Source organism: Homo sapiens, chromosome 12, assembly GCF_000001405.40.
Source record: "Homo sapiens chromosome 12, GRCh38.p14 Primary Assembly".
Taxonomy (NCBI): domain Eukaryota; kingdom Metazoa; phylum Chordata; class Mammalia; order Primates; family Hominidae; genus Homo; species Homo sapiens.
The window spans coordinates 38,751,238-38,766,321 of NC_000012.12; the positions used below are offsets into that span (position 1 = coordinate 38,751,238).

General features: G+C 35.1%; 1 protein-coding gene across 7 annotated transcripts in view; it reads right to left on the reverse strand.

Moving 5' to 3' along the window:
• Positions 1 to 15,084, reverse strand: part of CPNE8 (copine 8) — a 254,633-nt gene that overhangs the window by 99,035 nt on the left and 140,514 nt on the right. For all 7 annotated transcript variants that reach the window (XR_245896.5, XR_007063052.1, XM_017018852.2 and 4 more), the window contains exons 9-10: positions 10,875 to 10,979; positions 9,610 to 9,651 (exon numbers count right to left, since the gene is read on the reverse strand). Coding sequence is in view for 5 of the 7 variants with exons in the window: in XM_017018852.2 (XP_016874341.1) it covers positions 9,610 to 9,651; positions 10,875 to 10,979 (147 nt within the window). In the remaining 2 variants the exon portion in view is untranslated. The remainder of the gene's footprint in view (positions 1 to 9,609; positions 9,652 to 10,874; positions 10,980 to 15,084) is intronic.

Sequence of the window (15,084 nt, forward strand, 5' to 3'; positions counted from 1 at the left end):
CTAATACAGTAAATTCTCAGGTATGTCTTTGTCAGCAGCATGAAAATGGACTAATATTCTAGTAAATTTCATTTTTAAAATATTCGCCTTTTTTAAAAAAATTGTTAAAGTCTCTGCCCCTTTGTTATTAGGTATGGGCATCTTCTTATTATTGTACTAGAGCTCTTTATACATTAAAGAAATCTTATTTTACTATATATGTTGCAATTTATTTTCTAATCATCTTTTAACTTTTTGTTGTACGATATTTTTACCTATAAAGCTTGATGTATTTAAATCTATGGACTACACATAGCAATTCTCAGCTTGAGTTGCTGTGGGATGTTGAGTTAGAAAGCTAGGAATGTTGATACTACATTATGCCTACAGGCCAAATTAAAAACTAGTACTTTCAGATAACTTGAGTTCATTTTCAGTGATAGAGTTAATCCTAATTCAGCAATAGTGGCACTGGAGATAAAAAAATATATATATTTATTTTGGAAAGTTGGATTTATAACTCAGATGTTTTTGACAGACATGTATGAAACCTCAGGTCCACCCACTTGCCCTCATTCCAGAGCTTCCTATTTTGTCTAATTCACAATAGTCCCTTATAACATCACTTTTTACCATTTCTATTATTCAGGCTATCTCGACTTCTGATTTATTTTCTTTTTCACCAGGCTGCATTGTAAAAACTTTTTCTACTGCTACGCTGCTCTCTTTACTGTTCTTTTCTTTCAGTATCTGTTTACTTTTAAAAAATTCATCCTCAGTATTTTGTTGTATAAATTGTGATACTGTTGCAAAATAAGTTTAGCCTGGTAACAAATATTTATACTCTTTTCATAAACATCTGTGTTTATTCCATCTTTTCATGTCATAAAACTATAAATAATTACATAATTAACTTCAGGAAATTCATTCGTTCTAGTGACAATGGAGGCAACATTCGATTATTTATTTCTAACAGATGCAAGAGTTGGCAACTGATTGGATTTAGTGGATGACAGCAAGGGCAGGGTTAATATGGCTACGATCTCTCCAGTCTGCAAGGTTCGGGTTGTAGTAATGCCTAGGCCTTACATTCAAGAGATGTAAATCAATAAAGCCAAAGTAAATATAAAAATACAAAGATATCTATCTACCCTCCCACTGATAATTAGTCACTGCTCACCATTTTCTGTGTGCCTGGCTATTACCTCAGCTTCCCAGAACCTTCCCCTGGACTCCCTGGGCCACCCCATAATTCAGCAATTAAAAAGCTGGCTCTGGCAAAGAAAAGGCCTCCCAGGACCCTATTCCCATTGTACAGCTCCCATCTATTTTGATGGCAGATAAATATTTTCAATATCACCTCTGGTAACCTCACAACAGAATAAAACTTGAGAGAGAAAAGGCAGATTTAGTGGTGAAATTAATATAACTCATTCAGCATCAAATATCAAGAAATATGCTCAATCTGTTCTTGGTAAACGAAGAGTTAACTCTAAAGGCCTCTTCTAGCCATAAGATTCTAATATCACCTTATACCAGAATTAGAATTTAATTTGTATTCCAAATTTGACTGATGACATTCTAATGGAGATGAATTTAAATAGTAAGGTGGTTAAAAATAAAAATTTAAAATATAAATCTATTTGATGTTTTGAACTTGATAATTCTCCTGTTGGTGAACATTATCGGTATTTAGATATGGAATAAAGCAGAAAAAGTAATTAATCTGAATGACAAGAAAAGATGATAGATTCCTGAATATAAAATCTAAGGTACCTGCAAATTGTGAAAACAAGACTAAGAAAATGACATCTAAATTAATTACTCACTATCTGAAGTTTCACCAGAGAAATAAAAGCTCTAATATTATTTAAGGTAATTTCATAATTTAAAATAAAGGGGATATAAGTATTGATGGAGGACTGAGTGTTGATATAGAAAAATATCAGAGCTGGCAGGGTGTAGTGGCTCATGCCTGTAATCTCAGCACTTTGGGAGGCCGAGACGGGTGGATCACTTGAGCTCAGGAGTTTGAGACAAGCCTGGTCAACATGGTGAAACCCCGTCTCTAATAAAAATACAAAAATTAGCCAGGCATGGTGGTAGACACCAGTAATCCCAGCGACTCAGGAGGCTGAGACAGGAGAATCACCTGAATCTGGGAAGCAGAGGTTGCAGTGAGCTGAGATCACACCACTACACTCCAGCCTGGGTGACAGACAGAGTGAGACTCCAACTCAAATAAAAAGAAAGCAAGCAAGAAAAAGAAAGATATCAGAGCTCTATTTTAAGTCCTCTCTTCTGTATTACTGAAGTAACATAGCAAGAAGCTACTACATTAAAGGCACTATAATCTACACTGTGAGGAATAATATGACAAAACACAGTCCTTGATTTCAGGTAGTTTATAATTACAGAAGTCTCCCCTACCCCTGCCCCCTTAACCACGGTTTCACTTTTTGTGGTTTCAGGTACCTGCTGTCAACTATGACCTGTAAGTTAGGTGAGTACAGTACAATAAGATATTTTGAGAGAGACCACATTCACATAATTTGTATTACAGTATATTATAATTGTTCTATATTATTATTATTGTTCATCTCTTACTGTGCCTAAGGTAAAAATTAAACTTCAACGTCAGTATGTACGTATAAGAAAAAATAGAGCTATATAAAGAGTTCCGTACTATTCATGGTTTCAGGCATCCACTGGGGGTCTTGGAACATATTCCCCCAGAGATAAGAGACGATTACTGTGATATGAAGGACAAGGCAGAAACAAATAACTTCAATATAAATCATAATGTGTTAGATATGCTGATAAACATTCCAAAGTGGCAAAGTAAACACACAAGAGAGAGGGATTAAATGACTTTCAATGTACAAGGAAAACCTTCATACAAATGACAGCACTGAAATCGGACCTGAACAGAATATCAACAGGCAAAATGAACACAGAAGGGCTTTCCAAATGGTGAAGCCAAGCAAATATGTGGGATAGAAGAGCACAGGACAAACACCAAAACTGCACAGTGAAACTGGCTGAAATACCACTTTCAAAAATCCTGCAAAGATCTTCTAGTAAAGGGCTGGTGTTGAACGTTTATATAATTTTCTTAAAAATGTTACTGAAAATGAGAAAAAGCCTTTTCCTCTGAAACATTATCTGAAAGAATCCCAAACCATTCAAGGTAGGCAGGTGGATATATATTAAAAAAACACATTAAATAAAATTAAAATATTGTATAAAGATTGAAGTTTTTAGTTAAGTCATATTACCTGGAAAAATGTTGAACACATAATGAGTGCTCAATAACAATTTCTTCATAAATTAATTAATATAATTTCTATTGAGTCATAAATAAATGAAGATGTACAGAAGTTAAAAATTGATTACCACTTCAGGTATACTAGATACATATATAATTAAATCAGTCTTTCTTGAGAGCAAGAATTATAGATTAAAGTGAAATGGGACAAAAAATTCACAAGCTAGAGTTGAGAAAAATCATGACCTACATTTTTAGCAGCTGGAAGACTAGATATGTCAATGAATCACATATAGATTATGAAATTCCATTTATCAACATTTTAAGTCTGAAAGAAGTGATACGTAAGGGAACAAGAAAAAGAGACTGAAACTTGCCTGTTAAATACAGGTTTAGGATATTCAGGGTTAACTGCAAGCAAATTGTAGGTTACCATTAAGGGAAGATTCCACAGAGTAAGTGAGGAAACAAAATAAATACGAAAAATATAAAAGGTTTACAAATGCTTCTTCTAAATGAGTTCTAATGTTTTAGACAATTCACAAATACATTTCAGCAATAGGCAAGGAATCACTTGGTCATGATAATGCATAATCCCAGAATGAAAACATCAAGTGCATTGATCAAATATTATCTTCTAAGGTAACAACAGAAAATGACAGCATTTGTATGGCATTTTGCAGACAAATGAAGTTTGCATTTAATTATATAAATATCATTATTGAAATGACTACATTTGATAAAATACAGAGTGGTAAAAATGAAACTTTTACTCTCTCTGTTCACAAGCGGGGATTTTATGATGGACAGTTCACTAACTCAGCCTTTTCATCAAAGCATCATTTTTCTGGTAGGCAGGAATCTACTTGGTGGCCCATTTACAATCAGTCCCACATCACAACCACATGGTATTAATGCAGCACTGTTCCACTAATGCTCCCTGAATTTTAATTTAAGCTACAAATTCAGCTGAAAAAACTTCAAGCAATTGAAGCTTTTCAAGGATACCGCTACTGATTGCTTTTCAACCAGCACAAGGCAGTTTCTCAGCACTTTAGCTTTTCAATTGTTAAAGTGAGCTTTAAATATTCATCCCCACCCATCTCAAAAAAAGAAAAAAAAAGAAATAGTGAGAAGTATAGGAATGATTTTAGCATTGTGGTTTAACTTGTTGAAAATTAAATACATTTCAACTGATTATTAATACCAATGTCAAGCAATGCCTCTAACTCTCAGACCCTTGTCAATGTGTTTCAATAAAAAGAACAGGTAACGGCCGGGCGCGGTGGCTCACGCCTGTAATCCCAGCACTTTGGGAGGCCGAGGCGGGCGGATCACGAAGTCAGGAGATCGAGACCATCCCGGCTAAAACGGTGAAACCCCGTCTCTACTAAAAATACAAAAAATTAGCCGGGCGTAGTGGCGGGCGCCTGTAGTCCCAGCTACTCGGGAGGCTGAGGCAGGAGAATGACGTGAACCCAGGAGGCGGAGCTTGCAGTGAGCCGAGATCCCGCCACTGCACTCCAGCCTGGGCGACAGAGCGAGACTCCGTCTCAAAAAAAAAAAAAAAAGAACAGGTAACTATATTTCTTCTATTCTACATTAGCTCAAGATACCTAATTTAATGTCAACTGGTTACATGCTCAACAGCATTACCACATTTTTGTATGCTTCATAGATTTGTGAGGTGCTTCTTATAGAATTAATTTCAGTTGATGAATTTAGTTAAAAATGCCATCAGAATTCTGACACAAGAGGACACCAGTCCCTGAAGTGCCCAATCTGTGTGAATATCATTACAACAATTGTCTGAAATACTCTAGCTAGTAAAACAAAATGTGATTGTAAGCAAGTAAAGCATTTTCCACTTTTTTTTTTTTTTTTTTTAGACAGGGGTCTCACTCTGTCACTCAGGCTAGAAAGCAGTAGCATGATCATTGCTGACTGAAGCCTCAACCTCCTGGGCTCAAGCCATCTTCCTGCCTCAGTCTCCCGAGTAGCGAGGACTACAGCCACACGCCACCATGCCCAGCTAATGTTTTTATTATTTTCATAGAGACAGGGTCTTGTTTTATTGCTCTGGCTGCCACTTTAATATTTGACTGACATATTCTCTCTAGATTGAAAGAGCACATTGCCTTATTGGTTTTCTATGAGTAAATTTACATACAAAATAATACAGATATCTGACCAGCTTTTCCCCATTTTATAAGGAGTCAATTCTAGACTTCTACTAAATGCAGACAAACATTTCATCTGATATAAAGTTACTTATGATGCATATTACATGGACTTCATTAAAGTCTACGTAGTACCAACCAATATGGCAGCCCCTAGCCACATGCTGCTGTAACTTCAAATGTAGGTAGTCTGAATTGAGATGTGCTGTAAACATAAAATGTATACCACATTTCAAAGACTTAGTATTTTTAAAAAGTAAAAATCCTTCTTAGTAATTTTGTATTGATTCTATATTAAAATGACAATATTCTGGAAACATGGGATTAAATAAAATATATTAGTACATTAATCTCACTGGTTTATTTTTACTTTGTAATGTTATCACTAGAAAATTTAAAATTATATATGTGACTTGCATTATATTTCCATTGTACAATGTTAGTCCAAGTTCTCAAAAAACATCCACTGAGCAAATAATGTTTTTTAATAAGAAGAATTAAAAGTTCTGGATCAACAAATAGGGTAAAAAATGACACATGTACAGGATTTAGGACAAATATTAATGATGACAGGAATACAAAAATAAGTAATAGGAAACAGTCTCTGTTGATCATTATGTCATGAAATATAATGAGTCCTATCATAGTCACTCTGATGTTTTTAAAAAATCTACATTGGGCAATTTTGTCAGATTAAAAAAACATGTAAAAAGTGTAATAACCATCTTATTAGACCACACATAATCATAAGCTTCATATCAATTTGTATAATAATCCACACAGTGATCATTATTATTAAATTATAAAATTAATATCTGGATTTTAAAAAACTTTTATGTATTATATTTTATTGGAGACTAATGCGCCTTTCAAATTTCATACATAAGACAAGTTATTGAATTAAAAGGGTTATCAAGAATTATTTTAATTTTGCTTTTTATATGGCATCCACAAACTGATCATTTTGCTAACATTGAAAAAGGTTTCTTGGTGAAAATGTATTATATAGAATTATACACTAAATTTTCTACATTAAAATATAGATCTATTTTTGGAATAATAAAAGAGCACTTTACTCAAACATTAAAAAGGTATTAAACTTACACTTACAAAATTAAAATCCATTCCCCTAATTATTCTATTAATCATATAATTCATTTCCAAGGAATGTTTAAATTTCACCAAACAATTTTCCCCTCCTAATCTCACCCCTTTATTTTCAGTCTTTAACTCCCTAGACTTCTTTTGAACATGCTGTTAATGATGGTATAGTAAGATGAGTATTTAAAAATGCATTAATATATCCTCCAGCACTGCCAATCTTCCCCCCAAGCAGTTGATGACCCAATGACAAAATATGCTTATTAAATCTCAATATCTAAATAGTTTCTTTGCTTTTAAATCTGATGTCTCAAAAGTAAATTACTATTTCTTGTTGAAAAATATTTTTCCTATCTAATGGCACAAATCATCTGTGAACAAACTCTCTCTCTCTCTCTCTCTCTATTCTTGCTCTTATTATAGCTCTCATTCGCTTAATCTAAGCCACCTCTTTTTCACATTTCACTGGTCCTTTCAACGTCTGTTAGGATTCTTTCAGAGTCTGTAATACTCATTTCTTTCTACCTAACTTCTAGTTACATAAAAACTGTTACCAAGAAATGCTTTACCCATTTTTCCAGACAATATACAATTTCAGATAATAAAAAAATTATGTTAGATTGTTTCTTAAATTTTCCTTATAGTCTTCATAACTATCACATTAAAGTATCACAGAATAAGTCCAATGTCCAGGTTGAAGCCTTTCACTTAATGCCAGGAATTACGATTACAATGCTATAAAAAAGACAGTGCAATAGTTATGAATATACTATTGGAAGTGAACTGCCAGGGTTCAAGCCCTGGTTCCACCATTGATTAGTTTTGCGACTTTAGGCAAGTTACTTCTTTGCCTCAGTTTCTTTATCTGTGAAAGGTAACTAATGTAGTACCTATCATTTATTGTGAAAATTAAATAAGGAATAACATTAAAAATGCTTAGAGAATACCTGGTATGTTAGAAACTTTCAATAAATCATATCCTGAATAGGAATGCTCAAAATGCTCAAGTCAGGAAAAAAGATAATTAAATTCCAAGGTAATTCTGATCTTCAAAGCTATTCAAAATTCTTGTGGCTCAGAAATAGATTGGAGACAATAGGAGAGTCACAGAAACTCATCATTTGAAGGAAGACAATACAATATCTATAATTTCAGCAAATTTAGGATTGAACGTCTATGGATGTGGATGAAACCTAAATTTATACCCCTTGTTTATTAGTGGTTAAATTAAAACCATTTCCCAAACTTTTAAACCATTTCTCATGTGCCCAAAAATACTCTTGTCTCTAATTCTAATGTAATATCACATACATTTCTGTTACATTAGGATTAGAGACAAGTTCTATTTAGAAATAACTCCAAAAACAGTTTTTATATTTTCACACTGAAAATCAGTCAGATTTGCTTCAGCCTCAAGTATCGTGTTTTGCAAAATTAAAGGAGCTCTGGCAGTGAGCTGCACTTTTTGTTTCTAAATGGGAAATGGGTTAAAAATTACTAGGGAAAAGCCACCACTTTTGCCTATTCACAATTAAAATATAAAATAGGGTATATAATACAGGGCATAAAGTCCTTTACTCAGATTGGCATTATTTCCTTTTCTATTATTCTGAGCAGCAAAACTCATTATCTCAGTGAATCAAGTTTAATAAAGCAATGGAGCATAAATCCCTATGGAAAAATAGAAAGTTTTCTGATAAGATTTCTCCAGAATGCACATAGAACTAAATAATACATTAACCAAATGAATACCTGGCAGAAACGTAAAGATCAGTAGCATAGCATGGATTATTATGAAGTTATCTCTAAGAGCAAACTTCAAATCAGTGTTATAACTCTTTTTCATAATAATGTTTGTGATACAACTTAAAGACTGAAATATTTGAGTCTTATATACTTATTTGGTAGCAGCTAAAGTGTAGAATAATAATCTCCACTTCCCTCCCCATCTTTTCTTATCACTTCTTGAAAGAAAAAAAAAATACTATTTGCATCAAATTCCAGGACACTTATTGCACAGTGTGTGTGAGTAAGCATATGGGCAAGTGTCATACACATGCTGGCATGTGGCTCTGCAACTGAGCAACTTTCTGCCAATGCAGCAGAAGGGAAGAGAAGAGGGTGCCCCCTCAGCACAGGCCAGCCTTCTTGAACTTGTTCCTGTATTCACAGGAGTGTTCAGGTATCCAGGCACTTTCATCCCTTTGGGGGTTGGTTTCTGGCTTGTACACAATGCAGAGAGAAAAGCATTATTTAGCTTTAACCTCATGTTTCAGCTCCATTTATCAGTGAGCTATGGATTTGAGTTTAGGACACACATCGACTGAAAAATTAAAAGTAACCTTTGCTTTCCCATTTATCATTCTCCTTTGATACCCACATATTCAGCCCTTTCAGGGAGCACCTAGAGAGGCAGCAGTCTAGGGCAAAATGGGATTTGAGCATTTCTGGGTCCTTGGCTTAAGATCATTTTACAAACATCTCATCATCATCCTACGAAGATGACAGTAGAAACAAAATATGCTTAAAAAAGAAAAAAATGAGTTTCCTCTCTTTTAGTCTTTAATATCTACTTTGATATGCAGAGGACTACAGTGATTGCAGAGCTCTGAACAACTATTTGGTCTGGCAATGACCAGACACAATTCTCGAGTTTTGTTGTATGGTGTGTATATATATATATATATGTGTGTGTATATAGGCAGAGTTGGCTGGTGAATGCAAAGCTTACTTGTGTTCCCTTGAAAAGTATGGGATATCAATGTCATAAAAATGTTCAGAGAAATTTTGAAATGCAGAAATTTGATACTCACTACAGCTATAAAACTAGACATCTATAATCATCAGATTCAAGTTGAAAATCTTTACTAAGTTACTGGAAATAAGAAAAACCTCTATTTTCATCTCGAGGTTGGAGAAAATATGCTCATTTTAAAATTTCATGTAAATGCATCAGTAACATTTGGAAAAACAAAACAAATATGCCATCTAAAAATTACAATTTAAAAATGTGGTCATTTCAATGTATGTGCCTCTTAAAGTACACCCAGTTCAAGAGTAAGAAGATAAGAACTGTCTTACCTTCCATCTCGGTCCCAGTCATACACCTCTACTTTGATTGTTCTGTACATGAGAAAAACATACACATAAAGTTACTTAGTAAGATCAAAATAATGTATGGTTGAGAATTTAAAAATAAGTTGTTTTTCTTAGATAAAACAATGTATGCTTGCAGATTTTACATATGAATTTGAAGTTAATTTTGCTAATTTCATTACTATAATCCAATTCGCATCTTAAAAGAGGCTTCTAAAATCTTCATTGATTCCTTAAAGAGAGTAAGGAGAGTCTACAGGGGAAGCATGTGCAGTTTGACAGAGCTCCTCAAAGGGATGGTATGCACCCACTTCTCCGCTCTTGAAAATTACTGTCTTGGAGCAGTGTTTCTCAAACTCAGCAAAGATCAGAATCATATGGAGCACTTGTCAAAACATGGATTATTGGACCTCTCTCCTGGAGTTTCTGATTAAGCAGGTCTGGATTGGGGCCACATAATTTGAATTTCTATGAGATCACCAGGTGATGCTGACTGATGCTGCTAATCAGGAAGAACATTATGACTTTCTTAGGAACTTTTCTAAGAACTTTCTTAGGAAAAAATGAGTCCAGCAAAATAAAGATATGATCTTATTAAATGAAAAGAATGATAGTCAAGTGGCATGATAAATTTCAAAGAAAACTTAATAATAGTTCTATGATATGGGTTAATTAAACTATTTTTCTATCATATGTAACAAAATGAAGATTGAGATTTTTACTTTTCATTTGCTTTTCTTTTGGGATGGATGGGGTTTTTATATTATAATCATACAATAAAGTTTCATAAGAAAAAAACTTTGATATTAAGAAATCTTCAGGTATATTGTGGGAAAATCCTCAGGACCACCTTACCCAGCTAATTGTGAAACATTAAAATCTCCTGTGCTATAACTATGGAACTTTTGTGAATCAGCAACCATGAGTTATGCCAAATAACATTTTCAAGAGTATTTCAGGGTTGACAATATGTCTAAGCATAGTGTTGCAACTTTCGTGTTTCTACTTGTTCCACTCTAGAAGGACTGTACCATAGAAAAGGCTTAGGGCAATGAAGATTCTGAAATAACTTTTGAATAATAAATTAAAATTTAAAGCAAATATGCAACGTATTTTAGCATTTAAATATTTTCATTTTTGGAAAATAAGTTTAACCAAATTTTAATTAGCCAACTTATCCCACTTCCTCAAATCACTGTAGATTTTTTTAAAAGTTATTTGAAGATTTTTGAATAAACTATCCTTCTTACCTGTCATAGTCTCCATTACATAATGCTCTGACTGAGATCTTGAATGCTTGCCATACTGGATTTAGAGTGTTTTTGACAACTTCTGTCTTGTGACAAATTGTAAAACTATAAAGAAAGAGTTTTCAGTTATTTGCATGCTTTGACTATTTTAATTGATCTATTGTTTTAGTAGCCATTCCTCTGCTTACTTTTTGTTCAGAATAGTCAGTTCCGCTGTTGCTGCTACATCACTTCATGGAAAGAGATACGTGATTTTAAAACCTGAAAGATCACCTCACCATAACCTACTTTGCAATAAATTTACCAAAAACAATCTGAAAATTCAATAAATCCTAAAGTTGTTTTGTAAACAATCTCTGTAAAAATTGTGGTGACATGCTGATGGAGTGAAAAATATCCATAGGTCCCTAAGAATATGAGGATCACCAGCAACTTTGAGAAGAACAGCTTTGTTGGAGTGTTGAGAAGAAAAACCTGGTTTTACAGTGGGTTTAAGAAAGAGAAGAGAAACTGAGGCACAGTGTGTGAACTTTTAGTCTAGCTGTGAAGAAAAAGAAAAAAGTTAGGCTAATTTAAGGGAAAAGAAAGGATTAATCACAGGAAAGGTTTTTGGTGTTCTTGTTTTTACTTTTAATTTTTGTTTTCAAGATGGAAGAAATAACAGCAAGGTTGTCTGGTAAAGGAAAAGATCTGGCAGAAAGGAAGCCACTTCTGATGCATGAGAGAAAGGTGGGAGCAATGTTTTTGTTTTGTTTGTTTATTTGTTTTTGAGACGGAGTCTCTGTCGCCCAGGCTGGAGTGCAGCGGCGTGATCTTGGCTCACTGCAACCTCTGCCGCCCGGGTTCATGCAATCCTCCTGCCTCAGCTTTCCGAGTAGCTGGGATTACAGGCGCCTGCCACTGCACCCAACTAATTTTTGTATTTTTAGTAGAGACGATGTTGCACCATCTTGGCCCAGCTCGTCTTGAACTCCTGACCTCATGATCCACCTGCCCCGCCCTCTCAAAGTGCTGGGATTACAGGCGTGAGCCACTGTGCCCAGCCGGGAGCAATGTCTTTTAAGCAGGTGAGAGTAGATGGGATCCTGAGCATCAGTGGAGGAGCTGCCCTTGAGAGGCCAGACAGTCATTCTGCAAGAACATTCAGGAAGGCAGAGTAAATGGGTTGATGTGGTGGGATCATGAGGAAGCTCTCCAATTGCCACCATTTTCTTATGAAAGAGGATGCATGACAATGAGCAAAGAAGGAGGATGAGACATAAGTGATAAAGTGTCTGGGATAAAGAAAATGTTCATAGATTAGGAAAAAAGGAGTAGAATTCCTCGGGAGCCCCAAGGGCCCATTTAAGTTTAACATCACGTCATGAATCTATAGAAAGACCATTTAGTGTGTGGGTTCTTTCTTTATCTAAACTATTGGTTCTATATATCTAAAGAATTCCTAAGGGAAGAAAGACAGCAATTCACAATATGGGGCAGAATTCATGAAGCCTTAAGCTCGGTTTTCTGATTCAAATTCCAGTGTCATTTCCACAAAACTATTCAATCTTAAGACATCAATCAGCTCCTGGAAATGTTCTTCCTTCATGTGAATTTATGCAGCAGTTTCTGAGCTAGAAGCATTCAAAGTGATCTTCACTGAAACAATACATAAAACTTCATCAAGACCTTAGTCATAAAGTGTTTCAAATGCAATTATCTAACAGTAATGACACATGAAAATATTAATAAATACCATAGTGAATATACTGCCCCTAACCCCCATGATGAAATATCCCCCCTTTGATAAGTCCTCAAGTTCATTTTCCTACTCTCAAATAAGAGGGATTTGTTTCTATTAAGAGATAAGATAGAAACATAATACTTTATGAAAGGATCAAGTTTTTATTACAAGACTTAACGGCATCCGTGCCTTCTCCTTCCAGGCAGTATCCTCACTCATCTAAGGAAACTCGTGTCATTAAATTGACAGAGCCCAGGAAAATGTATCTATGGTCAAATGTTCTCAGAGCTGACTCACCTGAAGCAATTTAGGAGTCAATGGGGGAAAAGGCATTACAAGTAAGACAGAGGGGCAGACAGAGAAGACTCTTGAAGGGTAATGAAGATGTCTAAAGCAGAAGAAGAAAATCAAAGTGGATAGGGCAAGTTAGGGGAGGGCTGTAGGGGCTCAGAACACAGAGAAAAGGCAAAGGTACCAAAAAATTTTTAAGAAAAAGTCATAGGCCGGGCGCAGTAGCTCACGCCTGTAATCCCAGCACTTTGGGAGGCCGAGGCGGGCGGATCACGAGGTCAGGAGATCGAGACCATCCCGGCTAAAACGGTGAAACCCCGTCTCTACTAAAAATACAAAAAATTAGCCGGGCGTAGTGGCGGGCGCCTGTAGTCCCAGCTACTTGGGAGGCTGAGGCAGGAGAATGGCGTGAACCCGGGAGGCGGAGCTTGCAGTGAGCCGAGATCCCGCCACTGCACTCCAGCCTGGGCGACAGAGCGAGACTCCGTCTCAAAAAAAAAAAAAAAAAAAAAAAGAAAAAGTCATAGAAAACAAATTACAGAGGGAAGGCAGAGCTGTATGTTGGTTTGTTTCAGAAACAATATATTCATTAAGATACATTCATAAAAATAAAATACATTCTTAAAGATCTGCAAAGGGAATTTCTTCTCTTGTATCATATTCTAATATATAGCAAGTCTTTGGTATGGTGATAGATACAGATAGCTAAATAGATGATATCTAGATAGATGACAGGAAGAGAGAGAGAGAGAGAGAAAAAGAGAGACAGAGAGAGAGACTAGACTGAGAGACCAACTGACCATCTTCAGACCAACATGTTCAACTGTCTACTGACTTTTTGGCCTCTTTGCTTATGGTTAAATCAAAATTTCTCTTATATTCCTAGTGTCACCAGCTGCAGTAATTAAATACTTTTGACACTTGAAACATTTCCTCTGAGGGAAGGCATGTCCTTCTTACTGAGATATTTATGAGGCAGGCAGTCATTTATTGCCTATTAATCATTCTCATTTCTAATGTATTAGATATCATATATATAGGAAAACCTCACTGGTAAGAATTCCAGTGCTGGTGTAACTCATAAAAATTCTGCCAGGAGTCCAATGTAGCTTTGCCTAACATTCAGAAATATTTCTATATAAATATAATGTGTGTGTTACAAATAGTATTATAAAAATATATTTTTATTGAATAACTGGTATTAAGATACTTTAAGTGAGGCCATTTACCAAAAATAGCTATTCCAAAGGAAAATTATTACCCAATCATATATAAATATCACGCTACTAAATAAATGTCAAAGCAAGAACATGAGTATAAGATCATAAGTATGAAGGCTTTTAATTAATACTTCCAGTAGAAATTAAGTTTTTGTCTTTCTTACGAAATAAGCCACAAATACACTAGGTATTAGGCAATTTTTGAAATAGTCCCATATTAAAAAAATATTTAAAATAAAGCTAGAATCTTTGCAGTTAAAAATGGAGACAAAAAGTGAGGCGTAAAAGCATCTGTATACACTCAAAATACAACAAAGCCTATGTGTGCGTACACATACATAAAATATCTGGATCGAGCTGGCAAACTAGGTTTCTGTGTGTAAATATAAATGAAAAGTTTTCTGAAATGAGATTCACCAACTTTTAAAAATAGTTTTTTCAAATTAGTTGACATTTTTGGATTAGTTGTATTTTTCTTAATATTTAGATTTTATTTAATGAGTGAACATCTTTTTTTATTTTTTTTTTTTAAGATGGAGTTTCACTCTTTTTGCCCAGGCTAGAGTGCAATGGCACGATCTTGGCTCACTGCAACCTCCGCCTCCCAGGTTCAAGCAATTCTCCTGCCTCAGCCTCCCAAGTAGCTGGCATTACTGGCACCTGCCACCACGCCCAGCTAATTTTTTGTATTTTTAGTAGAGACAGGGTTTCACCATGTTGACCAGGATGGTCTCGATCTCTTGACCTCGTGATCCGCCTGCCTCGGCCTCCTACAGTGCTGGGATTACAGGCGTGAGCCACCGCGCCTGGCCGTGAACATCATTTTTACAAGCATAATACATTTTTTAATAAAAGTATCACCAGGAGCATTAGATGTGTGATAAAGTGAAATTTTACAATTGTACAACTAATCTTTATGAAGAAAACTAATAAGAATAAAAATAGAAAATCCAGGGAGCAAGTAGTTCATAAGAAC